Below are 16,868 nucleotides of genomic sequence, written 5' to 3' on the forward strand. Positions count from 1 at the left end.
ACGTCCGCCTCCTGGCTTCAAGTGATACTCCTCCCTGAGCCTCCTGAGTAGCTGGAATTACAGACATGCGCCACCATGCCCGGCTAATTTTTATATTTTTAATAGAGACAGGGTTTCGCCATGTTGGCCAGGCTGGTCCCAAAGTCCTGACCTCAAGTGATCCACCCGCCTCGGCCTCCCAAAGTTCTGGGATTACAGGCTTGAGCCATCACACCCAGCCAAGGGTTTTGATGTGCATGCTAGAAATATGGACATTAAGGGTGATTCTGATGAAGTCTGAAGTCCCCTGAACCCAGAGGAAAGGCAGTCCTTGTTACAAAGCGTCAAAGAACTTAGCTGAACTGTGTCCTAGTGTTTTGTGGAGCCATGAAGTTGGATACCTACGTAAGGAGAGTTCAAAGCAGTGTTGAAAGGAGCAGTTGGCTTCTCCTGTTTCTAGTAAAATGTGAAAGGAGAGAGATGGATTGAAGAAGGGATTGTTAAGCAAGAGAAGGAACCAGAACTTGAAGATTTGGAAAATTTTCAGCCTGGATTATCCATATTGTAAAACATGAGAAAGCATATTCTGAAGAGAACACCAAAAGTGTGGGGCTGGACTGTCCCTCAGTAAAGAGCTTTTGGCATTATGTGAGTAGAAACACTGCCAGTTTGAATTGAAGTGGTTGGAGACAGGAAGTAATGAAGGCCGACAGTTGAACTTCTTGGATTTGACAGGATGTAATGATAGAACTGTTCAGCTACAAAAGTGCAGTATTCTTCAAGAAAAGGGGAAAATTATGCCAAAGGTGATTTAAGGGTCTTGAGGGCTACCACCTGTTTCAACAAGTCAGCTAGCCTCTACCCAAAGCCTCGGGAGCAGAACTGAACTTCAGAGCCACAGAAGCAGGACCCTCACCTAGAGCACTGGCGGTGACCTGCCACCCCAGTGGCCTGGTGGGCAGAGTATGGAACCAAACAGAATTATTCTCAAGCTCTAAGATCTAATGGAATTTGCCTTGCTAGGTTTTGACTTCCTTGGGATCATCACCCTTTTTTTCCTGTTTCTCCTATTGGAGTGGGGATGTCTCTTCTATACCTGCCCTACCCTTAGATTTTGGAAGCACGTAACTCATCTGGTTTCACAGATTCACAGCTGGAGAGGAATTTTGCCTCAGGATGGATTGTACCTAGGTCTCATCCATATCTGATTTAGATGAGACTTTGAATTTTAGCCATCAGAGTTAATGCTAGAATGAGTGAAGACTTTGGGGGATATGGGGATGGAATGAATGTCTTTTGCATTTGAATTTGGAAAGGACATGAGTTTTGAGGGGCCAGGGATGGAATGTTATAGACTAATTGTGTTCCCTCAAAAATGTTTATGTTGAAGCCCTAACCCCCAATGTGTTGGTATTTGGAGATGGGCCTCTGGGAGGTAGTTTATGAAGGTGAGACCCTAGTCTGATAGGATTAGTGCCCTTAGGAGAGATGCCAAAGAGCTTGATGTCTCTCTTTTTGCTACAAAAAGACACAGCAAAAAGGCAGCCATGTGTAAGCCAGGAAGAGAGTCTTCACCAGAACCTGACTATACTGGCAGCCTGATCTTGTACTTGTAGCCCCCAGAACTGTTAGAAAATAAATTTCTGTTGTTTAAGCCACTCAGTCTATGATATTTTGTTATGGCAGCCCAAGCTGATTAAGACAAGGCATTTTAAAATATTTAGTCAGTTTGGGCACTGAAACTGACCTGTCCTTGGGTGTCTGTTTGCAATTTCTTAACTTTTAGTCTCTTCTAGTTACACTACATTTATGAACCAGAGGACAATGTAATGCCCATGTAATTCTTCACCTAATCGAAAACGTAAGGGGAGGATTAATCAACAGGAAATCCATTTATAATTGGTTTTTTAATACCTCTACCATTTACTGACTATAAAATATATTCCAGTTAAATACTTGATTTTGAAAAGTTAGCATTAAAATTGAGTTTAAATGTGTGTATACACATGATTGCCTTTAAAATATTTAAATTTATAAGGTGGTTATTTTCAGAATACAAATTCTTGAGTTACTGTCTCCGTATCCCATTTCTGAGATCAGAAATTGAATGCCTGATGTAATCTTTGGATTCAAAGTGAATCCTAGGTTCTTTAATTTTAAAAAAGAATCTTTTAATTTGGTTTTCCCGACATTCTGCATTATTCATTTCTAAAAGTACATAAAAGGTTTTTTACTAAAATCTTGTTGGATTTAATATATAGTTTTAATGTTTAAGATTTGATAATTACAAAGAGTTTTTTGTTTTTGTTTATCTGTAACTAAAAAGACAAAGCCAGTCCCCACATCTATTTTTAAAGAAGAAAATGACTAGTTTATCCAGAAAAATCACCTCCAGTTTCACTTTTGATTAAGAAAATAATAGAATTGAGATCATCTCTAGACAATAGGTGTGATACTGCTGCCAAATGATGTATGAAATGCATGGACTCTTCAAATTTGGACAGTTGTCAGATAAATTGTTTCTTAATTTTATTTCAGAAGATATGAAAGGGAGCAGAAGAGGCGAACCCCGCAGTGTAGTAATATTTTCCTTCCCCATTCTTTACCTAGTACAGTTGTATAATAATACTTTTAAATGACTTCTTCTGTGCATTTTAATTTTTATCAAAGACAGACATTAAATCTACAATGCTTAGCTCAGACACTCAGGAATTGTTTGAATGAATGATACACATTTATATCATCTTAGCCACTGTAGAAAAAATCTTTTTTCTTGGCATGTGGATCTTAGTGAGTGTGCAAAATTTGAAACATTTTTATAGCTGTTAGGTTCCAAACTAAGTTTTCATCTTAAAAACTGAGATTTTTTTTTACCTTAGAAAATTTCTATTACATTATCATAAGTATTAGAATTTAAATTATCAGAAGTATTATAATTTAAGTGTTTTTCCATATTAAAGAATTAACCACAATAATGATCCATTTGGAGCTAAGTCCTATATACAGGAGAATAATCACAATGTTTGATTACTTCAATTATGTTATCCTTGTATACGAATACTTTACTTTGCCATTGCTTATTGTTAAAGGACCAAAAGAGATTTAGGGGTAGAATCTAGTTTTGATAAAAGATTTTATGAGCATACATTATTTTTACACAAATTATCCTATCCTTGATAGAGGAGTGTTGTCTTGGGGGAAAAAAAAGTGTACCAATCTACATGTTTTCCTTGACCTTCCTGCGGCTTACTATTTATGTGTGGTTTGATTTTCTTGATTTTCTGTTACTTGAATGGTTTCTACTCAGAATGAAATGAATTTTATTTTAACAAAGTATTGTCCTCTAATTTAACATCACATTGTTAATGTTTTGCTCATTAATTCTCTGCTCATAAAAATTTGGTCCAGGCGCGGTGGCTCACGCCTGTAATCCCAGCACTTTGGGAGGCCGAGGCAGGCGGATAACGAGGTCAAGACATCGAGACCATCCTGGCCAACATGGTGAAACCCTGTCTCTACTAAAAATACAAAAATTAGCTGGGCGTGGTGGCGTGTGCCTGTAGTCCCAGCTACTGGGGGGCTGAGGCAGGAGAATCGCTTGAACCCGGGAGGCAGACGTTGCAGTGAGCCGAGATTGCGCCACTGCACTCCATCCTGGGGACAGAGCGAGACTCCGTCTCAAAAACAAAACAAATTTGAAGGGCATACATTATGAGGCAGAGCACATTAGTTGGCATAGTCCTGACATCTATGTGAGCAAACATAAAATGGCGTTACTATATTATATCCATAATTGCTATACATTTGCTTTGGGGCTGTCAACATATTCTTAAGTGGATAATTATTTCAGAAATTGTCTTATTATTATTACTACTACTACTATTTTGAAACAGAGTTTCGCTCTTGTTGCCCAGGCTGGAGTGCAATCACGCAATCTCGGTTCACTGGAACCTCCGCCTCCCAGGTTCAAGCGATTCTCCTGCCTCAGCCTCCCTAGTAGCTGGGATTACAGGCACCCACCACCACACCCAGCTAATTTTTGTATTTTTAGTAGAGATGGGGTTTCACCATGTTGGCCAGGCTGGTCTCGAACTCCTGACCTCAGGTGATCTGCCCGCCTTGGCCTCCCAAAGTGCTGGGATTACAGGTGTGAGCCACTGCGCCCGGCCCCAGAAATGTCTTTCTCCTCAACTTGGATTTCCCGTAGTTTGGGTATTCAAGTACAATTATGCTATAAGTTTTGGGATTTAGTTGTCTCTTTTGAATGTTATCTTTGGTACCCCAGAAGTACTCTGACCTTATTGGTCTCTGGACACAGTGTTTACTAGCATTATTTTTAAAAATTTAGTAATATATTGATAATGTTTGTACTCTGTGCTTTAAAATTAAATTATTTGAAGCAGTTTGATGATGGTACATTTAACTGTTAAGTGCTGTGCCAAGTTTGAGTTTCTCCACTTAAGGTAGAAGTAGTCACTACTTTATGAGGAAATTGTAGTGTGCAAGTTTGTGTTCTCAGATTCATACCACTGCTTATACAAAATGGAAGTGTTGTAAATGCTAGTTAAGTTCTTAGGTTAAGCTGCAGAGATACAGTCATAACCTGAGTTGCGCATTTCTGATATTAACCGTTCTAATGTTAAATTCTGGGTCCTGGGAGCGGGACAGTACAAGACAAAGAGGAAGAGAAGAGCTTTCCCTCTTTCTTAGCTGCTAATGTATGAATGTGGGTAAGGCTTTGACTTTCCAAAGTTACTTGAAATTTTAAATTATAAAATTTTAAAACTCTGAAGAATCATTGGTAGAATTTCAGCCAATGTAGTAGTTTAGACATTTAGGGGAGAAATGTTTTTGCTCTGGCCTCAGTTGTTCAGTTTTACAAATTCCTGTATTCAATTTTCTTACTACTCAGTGATGGCTTTTAATTACTTCCTCCTCCTTTGCACATTTGAATTAACATATTCTCTAAATGCTAAGCTTGTACACAATTGTATAGGGGTAGTTGCTGATGTAGAAGGACACTTGTCACAATTTGTATGTATTGATCATTTGTAAGTTGGGACTAAGACTTTTCTGTGGTGTGTGTGTGTGGTTTTTTTTTGGAAGGGAGTGTGTTGTTATTCTGTGTTGCTTTGCTTTTTCTTAAAAGATCCTCTTCTATATATTTCGTGTGATTTAAATGTTCTTTTTTTTTATATAGGTTTGTGGTAAATATGCCAGCTCTAGAACACATGAATCAGATTTTACACATCTTGTTTGTATTTTTACCCTTTCTGTGGGCACTTGGGACTCTGCCCCCACCCGATGCACTTCTCTTATGGGCAATGGAGCAGGTTTTAGAGTTCGGCCTTGGAGGCTCATCTATGTCAACCCACTTACGGTATTTATTTTTAAATATTGATGTTATATGTAATATTCTTAAAGAACATTTTTCTTTTCAAGTAAATATTTTTTTCTTTTTTTTTTCTGTACAGGTTATTAGTAATGTTCATCATGTCTGCTGGAACAGCTATAGCATCATATTTCATTCCAAGCACTGTTGGTGTGGTTCTTTTCATGACTGGATTTGGTTTCTTGCTGAGTCTGAACTTAAGTGATATGGGTCACAAAATTGGAACCAAATCTAAGGATTTACCCAGTGGTCCGGAAAAACATTTTTCATGGAAGGAATGCCTTTTCTACATCATTATATTAGTCTTGGCTCTTTTAGAAACTAGCTTGCTTCATCACTTTGCTGGCTTCTCACAGATTTCTAAAAGCAATTCCCAGGCTATTGTGGGCTATGGTTTGATGATATTACTTATAATACTGTGGATACTTAGAGAAATTCAAAGCGTATATATCATTGGAATTTTCCGAAATCCCTTTTATCCGAAGGATGTGCAAACTGTGACTGTATTCTTTGAGAAGCAAACTAGGCTCATGAAGATTGGTATTGTCAGACGGATTTTGCTAACTTTAGGTAGGAAGATAAAGTCTATTAACCTTGTGTTACAAATCATATCCTGGAAGTATTCAAAAATATTACTCAATTCCCATATTTGTGTGGTATTATACCATATACAAGTGTTTGTTCTTTTATGTTATGGTTTTTTGTTTATTGGCTTTTTAGTTCATCGCTTAAATGTGCTCATAAAAAATGTGTATTTGCCAGAATAAAATATGGTAGAAGGAGCTATTTTGCCTTAATTAAATTTCTCTCTTTTTGTTTTGTTTTAGTATCACCTTTTGCCATGATAGCATTTCTTTCATTGGACAGTTCCTTACAAGGGCTCCACTCAGTGTCTGTCTGTATTGGATTCACAAGAGCCTTTAGAATGGTAATCCTAATATGTGTTTAATAGTATTTTCCTATTGCTAAGTTTTATTGTAATTTTGTTTAATAGTTTGCTTAGATTATCTAATTCTACCTGATAAAAATGGATAATTTGTATACTGCAGGTATGGCAGAATACAGAAAATGCTTTATTGGAGACAGTCATTGTATCAACAGTACACTTGATCTCCAGTACAGACATATGGTGGAACAGAAGCCTGGATACAGGACTCAGACTCTTACTGGTAAGTGTGTCTTTTAACAGCTTTACTGAAATATATTTTACATACTATAATATTTGTCCATTTAGTGGTGTATATTCAGTTTTGTAGTCATCACCACAATCTAATTTTAGAACATTTTCAACATCCCAAAAAGAAACCTCAACTGTTATTTCCCATTCCCCCTCTCCATCTCGCCTACTACCCACTGTAGTCCCAGCAGCTACTAATCTACTTTCTGTCTTTATGGATTTGCATATTTTAGATACTTCACATGAATGGAATTCTGCAGCATGTGATCTTTTGCATCTGGCTTCTTTCACTTTTATGTTTTCAAGGTTCATTCATGTTATAGCATGTATCAGTACAGTCATGCACTGCATAAGGACGTTTCAGTCAATGACAGACCACATATACAACGGTGGTTTCATAAGATTATTATGGAGATGAAAAATTCCTATCAGCTAGTGGTATAGCCCTTGTAGGGTAGCTCATTACTCACGTGTTTGTGGTGATGTTGGTGTAAACAAACCTACTGGGCTGCCAGTCATATAGAAGTATAGCATATACAATTGTGTACAGTATGCAGTACTTGACAATAAGCAACTACTGGTTTATGTACTTACTGTGCTTTTTATTATTTTAGAGTATATTCCTACATATTAAAAAAAAAGTTGACTGTAAAACAGCCTCAGGCAGGTCCTTCAGGAGGTATTCCAGAAGAAGGCATTGTTATCATAGGAGATGACAACTCCATGTATGTTATTGCCCCTGAAGACTTTCCAGTGGAACAAGATGTGAAGGTGGAAGACAGTAATACTAATGATCTGACCTTCTGTAGGCCTAGACTGATACGTGTTTTTGTATCTTCATTTTTGACAAAAAAGTTTTAAAAGTTAAAAATTTTTAAATAGAAAAAAACTTATAGAATAGGGATATAAAGAAAAAATGTTGAGCAGCTGTACAATGTGTTTTAAGCTAAGTGTCATTACAAAACAGTCAAAAAGTAAAAAAGAAAGTATAAAATAAAAAAGTTATAGTAAGCTGAAGTTAATTTATTACTGAAGAATGAAAAATATTTTAAAAATAAATTTAGAGTAACCTAAGAGTACAGTGTTTTAAAAATCTACAGTAGTGTATAGTAATGTCCTAGGACTTCACATTCATTCACCACTCACTCACTCACTTAGAGCAACTTCTAGTGCTGCAAGTCCCATTCATAGTAAGTGCTCTATTCAGGTATACCATTTTTTATCTTTTATAATGTATTTTTACTGTACAATTTCAATGTTTAGATACACAAATACTTAACATTGTGTTACAGATGCCTATGGTATTGAGTACTGTAACATTCAGTACAGGTTTGTAGCCTATGAGCAATAGGTTATAACATATAGCCTAGGTATGTAGTAGGCTATACCACCTAGGTTTGTGTATGTACGCTCTATAATATTCACTCAATGATGAGTCTCGTTATTAGTGAACATATGTTTTCATTTATCTTGGGTATACCTACCTAGGACTGGAATTTCTGGTTGTATATAGGAACTCCATGTTTAATACTTCAAGATACTGCAGAACACATTTCTTAGAACATATCCTTCTCTGGCCAGACACGGTGGATCACGCCTTTAATCCCAGCACTTTGGGAGGCTGAGGTGGGCGGAGGGGTGTGTTTATCTAGTTTTCTTTCCTTGTGATATCATTGCCTGGTCCCCTAAAATGAGTTAGGAAGTGTTCCATACTCTTCTATTTTCTGGTAGAAGTTGGTGAAGGATAGGTATTGATTATTCGTAAATGTTCTGTAGTATTCAATATGTATCTGAAATGTTTTGTGGTATGTAATATTTTGTAGTATTGAAGCCATCTGAGCCTCAGCTTCTCTCTGTGGGTAGTTTTTAAATTATTCAATCTCTTTACTTTTTGTAGGTTATTCAGATTTTTTATTTCTTCTTGAGCCAGTTTTAGTAATTTGTGTCTTTCTAGGAACTTGTCAATTTCTGCATTATCTAATTTGTGGCCTACAGTGGTTCAGCCTTAAAGCATAGTTAGTACACTGTCAGCTCTCTTTAGTGTTACTGTTTTTTTTTTTTAAGAACAAACTTTAAAATATAGTCTTGTTTATTAATTATGAGGTTGGAGAAAATTAACAAAAAAATCAAAGAATAAGATTTATTTCTTCAAAAATACTGGGGCAATAATAAAATTACTGTATAGTCTGTCTTATATGATCTTGAAAATTCATGAAAAATCTTCTAAGGATAAATAAAAATAATTTTTACATTTCTACAGGTTGGTATCATACGTGATCGTTTGATTCAGTTCATCTCTAAATTGCAGTTTGCCGTGACTGTGCTTTTGACATCATGGACAGAGAAAAAACAACGTCGAAAAACAACTGCCACTTTATGTATACTCAACATTGTCTTTTCTCCATTCGTGTTGGTCATCATAGTTTTTTCTACACTACTCTCTTCTCCCTTACTCCCTCTTTTCACCCTTCCTGTGTTCTTGGTGGGGTTTCCCCGACCTATTCAGAGTTGGCCAGGAGCAGCAGGCACCACAGCCTGTGTGTGTGCAGATACAGTGTACTACTACCAAATGGTGCCCAGGTTGACTGCTGTACTGCAGACTGCAATGGCAGCTGGAAGTTTAGGTAAGTAAATGGGTTGTGCTCAAGAATTTCTCACTAATGTATTTAAAGTACAAAAAAATAACAAACAGGAAAACAATCTTTTTATCCAACCATAAGATAGCATAACAACCATAACAATTTGATGTGTAGGCAGAAAGACTAAATATGAAATTAGAAGTTTATCTCCTGCTCCTTGTTTTCATCTAAATTAAGTTACAAAATAAAAATACTCAGGGAAATTTTTATTAAGGTGATTTTATAATTTTTTAAATACATTTTCTTGAATAAATTCAGATTACAATGCACCATCGAAACATGGAAACACCTTTCCCCGAAGATTTTCATGAATTTATAATGAGTTCATGTCAAGTAAATGCAGTAGCATACGTTCATAAAGTTTAGTGAAAACTAGCTTTACATAATATCAGCTTGAGGAGCAGATGGAGTTTTGTTCATGCTTTATGAGTTACAGAGACTTAAGCAGTCTGGACAAGATAACATAAAAACTTCGGTCAGTGATCAGTAGGTACGGTAGCCTCCCAAAATGAAATGCTATTCAGTTACTAGCAAGATAATAGGTTTTTGATGACAGTAAACTAATGTTATGAGTTTTAATGCTTTTGTCAAACACTAACTGTAAATTTTAACTGTATTGTACTTCTCAAGGTTGGTTTTAGATAAGGTATAATTTGATGACACTAGTGTGTCATCTCCTGCCATGTGCTTTAACCCCTGAAACTTGTTTTTAAAATGACAGATAACTTTCTGACAAACTCATTCTAGGCAGAGTAACAATTTAAGATTAGAATTTTAATAAAATGCTTACTTCAGGTTGAACTTTTCTAATTATTATGTGAGATGATTTATGAGAAAAAAATATTTTATCTTTGTACTACAGATGTTTTGTGAATAGTCATTTGTCTTATAGAAAATAGTCTATACTTACAATACTTTTATCCAGTGTTAATTAATTTTCATTATGTAATGCTGTTTTATTTTTTAAAACACCTGTGGGGTTAAACTCCCATCAGAAATAGTAATTAGATAAAAATTATACTTTATTATCAAACCAATTATACTCAACCAAGAATTGCGTTATAAAGTATTTTCTGGTGGGGAAAAAAGCAATGAAATAATATTTCACATACATCAGAGTGGCAAAAATGTAAACAATTTGACACTACCAAGTATTGGCTAGGGCATGGGGAACAAGAACTTTCAGACCTTTCTGGAAGGAAATGTAAATTTGTACAACCACTTTGAAGAGTTAAATGGTAGTCTGTAATAAAGATGTATATATCCCGTGGCTCAGGGATTCCAGTTTTAGATTCCATGATTTAGTGATTCCAGTTCTAGAGAAATTCTAGTACATGTGTTTTGGGGGGTCCTCAAGACTACCCCAGGTTTGATGGTTCACTAGGAGGACTGACAGCTAAGATTTATTACACCAAAAGGATGCAGAGCAAAATCAGCAAAGGGAAAAATCATAAGGAGTAAAAGAGACCAGGTGCAAGTCTCCAGGAGTTGCACAGAGTTGCACAGAATGTGCTTAATGCCCTGGCAACAAGTTGTGATGTGTGATATGTTGACTGCCAGAGAAACTCATTTGAGACTCAATGCCCAGGGCTTTTACTGCAGGCTGGTCATGCAGGCGCTGTCTGCCTAGGACATACCAATACTCCAGAATCCCAAAAGGAGAGCAGATGTTCAGTATATACTATATTGTTTGTACAGTTAGACACAATACGAGAGTCTTATCAGGTAGGGGGTTCCCAGATGCCAGGCAAGGACCAACCATATAAGCAGACCTTTTGAAGGATAGTAGTTGGTTCTGGTATGTTAACACTGTTCTGAACCACATATTGTACAAGCCGACTTGCACAAAGATAATTTCTGCAACATTATTTACAATAGTGAAAAGTTGGAAACATCTGAAAAGTTTATCAATAAGGAAATGAATACTCAAATTCAGTTAAATTGATACAATGTATTTTCGACAGCAGTTATAAATTTTAGCTGTTTGCCATAGATGTGGGCAAATCTCATTAATAAAAGTATTTAGAGAAAAACTAAATTTAAAAAGTATTTGTATGGTATGTAGCATTTTATGTACATTTTTAAACCACAAAACACTTTTTATATGTTTATATCCATGTATAAAAATGTCAAAAATATTTTAAGTCATGACTGTCAAGCTGCCTTTTATAAACTCAATACTTTTCCTAATATAATTAACATGTATTTAAGATTGTATACAACAACTTCTAATTTGTTTTTCTGGAAAATCCTTGAGTTTTTATGTAGTATCACCTGTAGATTATCTGTTCCAACTGCTCTTGTAAAGAGTTAATTTAATGCCTCCTGATACACATGAATAGTTATTTCTGTTCTTGACCTAATGAGAGGGTAGGAGTCGTGAATCAGTTCTAGATGTCTTTTTAGTTTTGAAGATTCACATGGCAAAATAAAAGAAGTTTGAAAATGATTTTCTTTTTTTTTTTTTTTTTTTTCTAATTTGTTGTAGGTCTCCTCCTACCTGGATCTCATTACTTGGGCCGTTTTCAGGATCGTTTAATGTGGATAATGATTCTGGAATGTGGCTATACTTACTGCTCTATTAACATTAAGGTCAGTGTGCATATAAAACATCTGTAGTATTTTTATAGTTCATGTGTAAAATTTTACCTGTTATGTTCACATCAAACACTCAATTTGAAAGAAGAATATCTTTTCAATTACCTGTGAAAACACCTAGGGATTTTTAAAGTATATTTCAATAAGCACATGTTGATAGGTGGACTAATGTTAATTGTATAATAGAGCATGGTAGCAAAATATACCTGCTTCCTTTTCTTCCAGTCCTATTCTTGTTATCTCTGTCAAGTTGAGCATCTCAAAAGTGTGAATCAGTAATTTTTTTTTAACTCCTATATCATTTAAGCATTCTCAACTTAATAAAAACTGTCTTCTAATCCTACTGCCCCTACCTGCTATACCCTATTTGTCTCCTTCCTTGAAGAGCAAAATGGCCTTATTAGAGCTGTTTATAATTGTATCTCCAATTTAATTTCTTTCATTCTATCTTCAACTTACTCTAGGTTTTTGACCCTACTACTCCACCCAGCCTGCTCTTGTCAAGGTCTCTAGTGACTGGCACATTGCTAAGTCCAGTGATCAACTCTCAGAACCAGTCTTATTCGAACCATCAGCAGCATTTTACACAGCTATTCTCTTCTTTTCACTTGTTTCATGGGTTACTTCTCTACTTTGTGGTTCCTTCTCTTTTCTTTGACCTTTTAACACAAGGGTGTCCCAGAGCCTAGTAGTCCTTGCTGACAACTCTGTCCTTCTGGTTGTTCAGGCCAAAAATTCTAGAGTCATGTTTAACTCCTTTTTCACTTGTATACTCCCACGCCCAGTCCGACAAGAAATCCTATGGGCTCCACCTGTAAACCATATTCTGTATCCCATCTCTTTTTACCACCTTGGTCCCAGCCACCTTGATCCCTTACCTGGATAATTGAAATAGCCTCCTAATTGGTCATCCTGCTTCCACCTATGTGCCCCTACAGTATACTGTCAGCCAGAATGATCTTTAAAATCTAAGTCAAACCATGTCACTTCTGTAGTCAAAACCCTGCAGTGGATCTCTTCTTTCATTTAGAGTAAAAGCCAGGCTCTAAATGGCTAGGCTTCCTATTCCCTCTTTGGCCTTTATTGCTTTAACCCTCTCACTCTATTCCAGCCTCCTGGCTATTCCCTCTGCCTAAAACACTCTACTTGCATATAATCACCTAACTCCCTCCCTCACCACTTTCAGGTCTTTGCTCAAATGTCACCTCCTCAGTGAGATTTCCTATGGCCATCATATTTAAAATTACACTCCCACTCTTATCCCAGCACTCCCAACCCCCCCTTGCCTTGCTTTACTTTTTCCTTATTTTTATAGTACTTATACCTTCTCACAAACTATGTAATTTACTTATTAGTTTTACTGGTGATTACCCATGTCCCTCACTTTATAAGTAGTATCATAAGCACAGGGATCTCTTGTTTTTATTCAGGAATACATCCTAAGCCCCTGAAACAGTGCCTGGCACAGAATAGGCCTTTAACAAATGTTTTGTTTTGTTTTGTTTTATATAATGAATAGTAAGTGAATTTTTTGTACTAGCACAGATTGGATAAAATCGCTAGTGACTAAAAAGCTGTCTCTTTAGTCCAGTGGTTCTCAAAATGCAGTGCCCTGACTAGTATTAGTAATATTTCCTGAGAACTTGTTAGAAGTGGAAATTCTTGGGCCCTACCCTGAACCTACTAAGTTAGAAACTCTAGGGGTGGGATCAGCAACCTGTATTTCAAACAGCGCTCCGAGTGATGCTGACTCACCTACAGATTGAGAACCTCTGCTCTAGTCTAACCCATACCAGAAGACAAAAAATATTGAGGACATTTTGATTACTTAATTTTATTCTATTTAAAAATGATATGGTTTAATAATACCTAATAATGTTGATTGATCCTTTGTGCTCTGTGACATATGTGGTTTAAAAATATACTTTTTGGTGTTACTCTTTTTTTCTGTCTGTCTTTTTTTGACACAAGCTGGGTTAGGCCATGCCATCTATTAACAATTATATTAATACTTTAAAATTTACAAAACATGCAACCTTCACAACCATATACACTAGGATTATTTTCCTTTGAAACAGGAAAAAGGAATCTCAGAGAGGGTAGGTGACCTGCTCAAGTTCTTGCCAGCACCTGGTGGAGCTGTGACTGAAAAACAAGTTCTGAAGGCACTGACACCTTTGTAAAAATATATAAATAAGCAATATTTAAATAAGCAGTAGCAATTATAATAGTAAATAGTGACCTGATACCTCCTTTTCAAGTGATTCCTTCTAAGGAGGTAATCAAAAGGTGTTTAAAATTTATGTAAGGATATATTGATGATATTCACTCAGCATATATTTGTTGCATACCCACTGTGTACCAGATACTGGTTTAGGCACTACTGACATAGCAGTAACCAAAGTAATCAAAGAAGTAAATCTGCATTCTGATGTTATAAATCTGGAACAGGAGACTGATAAATTCTGGCACATCCATACACTGAATAATGCTATTAGTCTCATAAAGTGGGATGGAAAGCATATAATACTACTGTATATACTGTATAATTCTAATTTTGCTTTTTTTCTCCTCCAGGATTATAATTTAAAAGTTTTTATTGTGTGGCTCACTCTTAACTATCATTATAGTCTTTTAAAATTATATTCATACCTACTAAATTTGCTCAATTTCTAGTAGAATTTCCATAATATTTTAAAAAATAATAGTAGCATTATTTTTAATCTCTATCCAGAATCAAATGTGTTAAGTGCCATTAACTTTAAGTCAGGATGTTGCTCTTGAGTTAAAGAAATTGTTTTTGTCATTTTCCATATTTTTGTGATGAGAATCTATGGGCATTTACATGACTAGTTGCTGTATATTATGTAATAAATGATTATAAACTCAAGTACTTTTTATTTCTTCTTTAGGGGTTAGAATTGCAGGAAACATCCTGTCATACTGCAGAAGCTCGCAGAGTTGATGAAGTTTTTGAAGATGCTTTTGAGCAAGAATACACAAGAGTATGTTCCCTTAATGAACACTTTGGAAATGTCTTGACACCCTGTACTGTTTTGCCTGTGAAATTGTATTCTGATGCCAGGAATGTTCTATCAGGCATAATTGATTCTCATGAAAACTTAAAAGAATTTAAAGGTGACCTCATTAAAGTACTTGTGTGGATACTTGTTCAATACTGCTCCAAAAGGCCTGGCATGAAAGAGAATGTTCACAACACTGAAAATAAAGGGAAAGCACCTCTAATGTTGCCTGCTTTGAACACTTTGCCACCTCCCAAATCCCCAGAAGACATAGACAGTTTAAATTCAGAAACTTTTAATGACTGGTCTGATGATAATATTTTTGATGATGAGCCAACTATCAAAAAAGTAATAGAAGAAAAACATCAGTTGAAAGATTTGCCAGGTACAAATTTGTTTATTCCAGGATCAGTAGAATCACAGAGGGTTGGTGATCATTCTACAGGCACTGTTCCTGAAAACGATCTTTACAAAGCAGTTCTATTAGGATACCCTGCTGTTGACAAAGGAAAACAAGAGGACATGCCATATATTCCTCTCATGGAGTTCAGTTGTTCACATTCTCACTTAGTATGCTTACCCGCAGAGTGGAGGACTAGCTGTATGCCCAGTTCCAAAATGAAGGAGATGAGCTCGTTATTTCCAGAAGACTGGTACCAATTTGTTCTAAGGCAGTTGGAATGTTATCATTCAGAAGAGAAGGCCTCAAATGTACTGGAAGAAATTGCCAAGGACAAAGTTTTAAAAGACTTTTATGTTCATACAGTAATGACTTGTTATTTTAGTTTATTTGGAATAGACAATATGGCTCCTAGTCCTGGTCATATATTGAGAGTTTACGGTGGTGTTTTGCCTTGGTCTGTTGCTTTGGACTGGCTCACAGAAAAGCCAGAACTGTTTCAACTAGCACTGAAAGCATTCAGGTAATCCATTTTGATCATATGTAAGTTATAACATTGTTGGAAAAATACTGATTTTTCTAAATCACGTACAAGAAGACAGTTATTCGTTTCTAGTTTTTTAAAATTTACTTTCTTCAAAATGAAAAAAATGTTTCATGTGTAGTGTGATTGTATCAAGGGTACACTTTAATTTGTGCTTCCTTTGGTTTTGTTTATATGGAAAACCTGGTTTTTTTATGGCTTTCTGATTTCTTCACCTTAACTGCATCATTTCTTCCTCCACTTTTTATCTGAAATAGATATGATTTCAGTTCAATGTCTTAAAATATTGGTTTAACAAAATCTATTTGATCTTTAAAGTTGACAGCAAATATTCTAAAATTCTTCGGTTCTCCATTTTTTTTAGGTATACTCTGAAACTAATGATTGATAAAGCAAGTTTAGGTCCAATAGAAGACTTTAGAGAACTGATTAAGTACCTTGAAGAATATGAACGTGACTGGTACATTGGTTTGGTATCTGATGAAAAGTGGAAGGAAGCAATTTTACAAGAAAAGCCATACTTGTTTTCTCTGGGGTATGATTCTAATATGGTAAGGTTAAAAAATTTTTAAACTTACATATACTAACCTTAAAGAATGGATATAAGTTATAAAGTATTTGAACTAAGTGATAAATGATATAACGTTATAGCTGTGATATATTAATTATAGTTTTAAGGCATTTGTAATCATGACTTTTTGGCTAAGCTAGATGAACTCTAGAATAGCTGATTTCTCTACTTTTGCCAACTGAAGAGGAGCCAATTAAAAATGTTGTGTAGCCATAGTGCAATGCCTGACCTATAAGAGAGCTAAGTATGTGTAGTATGCTATAACATATTTGATTAAATGGATTGTATTCCTGTGTTCAAGTGTATGAATCATCACTTGGATTTGACTCCTAGAAAAATTTATCTGTAAGTGGCAAAGTATTTTGCTGACATTTATACTGTATTGAAGCAAACCTAACCTGTGAAAATCCAGAGACTTAAAATAGGGGATGACTCTTTAAGATTTAGTACTTGTTCTTATTGCATTTAAAATGTTGTCAAGTGTACACAACATGAAAGATTCAATGTTATGAGCTTATCATGGTTTTGTCTGTCTGGCATTATGG

At 35.7% G+C, this 16,868-nt stretch overlaps 1 protein-coding gene across 4 annotated transcripts in view; it reads left to right on the forward strand.

The window, feature by feature from the left end:
• PCNX4 (pecanex 4) overlaps positions 1 to 16,868 on the forward strand; it is a 56,311-nt gene that overhangs the window by 17,610 nt on the left and 21,833 nt on the right. For 3 of the 4 annotated variants that reach the window (NM_022495.5, XM_047431699.1, NM_001330177.2), the window contains 8 exons: positions 5,180 to 5,359; positions 5,454 to 5,941; positions 6,199 to 6,299; positions 6,421 to 6,540; positions 8,809 to 9,172; positions 11,676 to 11,779; positions 14,698 to 15,731; positions 16,117 to 16,303. In NM_022495.5, the coding sequence (NP_071940.4) occupies positions 5,193 to 5,359; positions 5,454 to 5,941; positions 6,199 to 6,299; positions 6,421 to 6,540; positions 8,809 to 9,172; positions 11,676 to 11,779; positions 14,698 to 15,731; positions 16,117 to 16,303 (2,565 nt within the window). In that variant the 5' untranslated portion in view covers positions 5,180 to 5,192. Of the gene's footprint in view, positions 1 to 5,179; positions 5,360 to 5,453; positions 5,942 to 6,198; positions 6,300 to 6,420; positions 6,541 to 8,808; positions 9,173 to 11,675; positions 11,780 to 14,697; positions 15,732 to 16,116; positions 16,304 to 16,868 lie in introns of those variants that run through there. The other variant, XM_047431700.1, reaches the window with a different exon arrangement.

Source organism: Homo sapiens, chromosome 14 (genome assembly GCF_000001405.40).
Source record: "Homo sapiens chromosome 14, GRCh38.p14 Primary Assembly".
Lineage (NCBI taxonomy): Eukaryota > Metazoa > Chordata > Mammalia > Primates > Hominidae > Homo > Homo sapiens.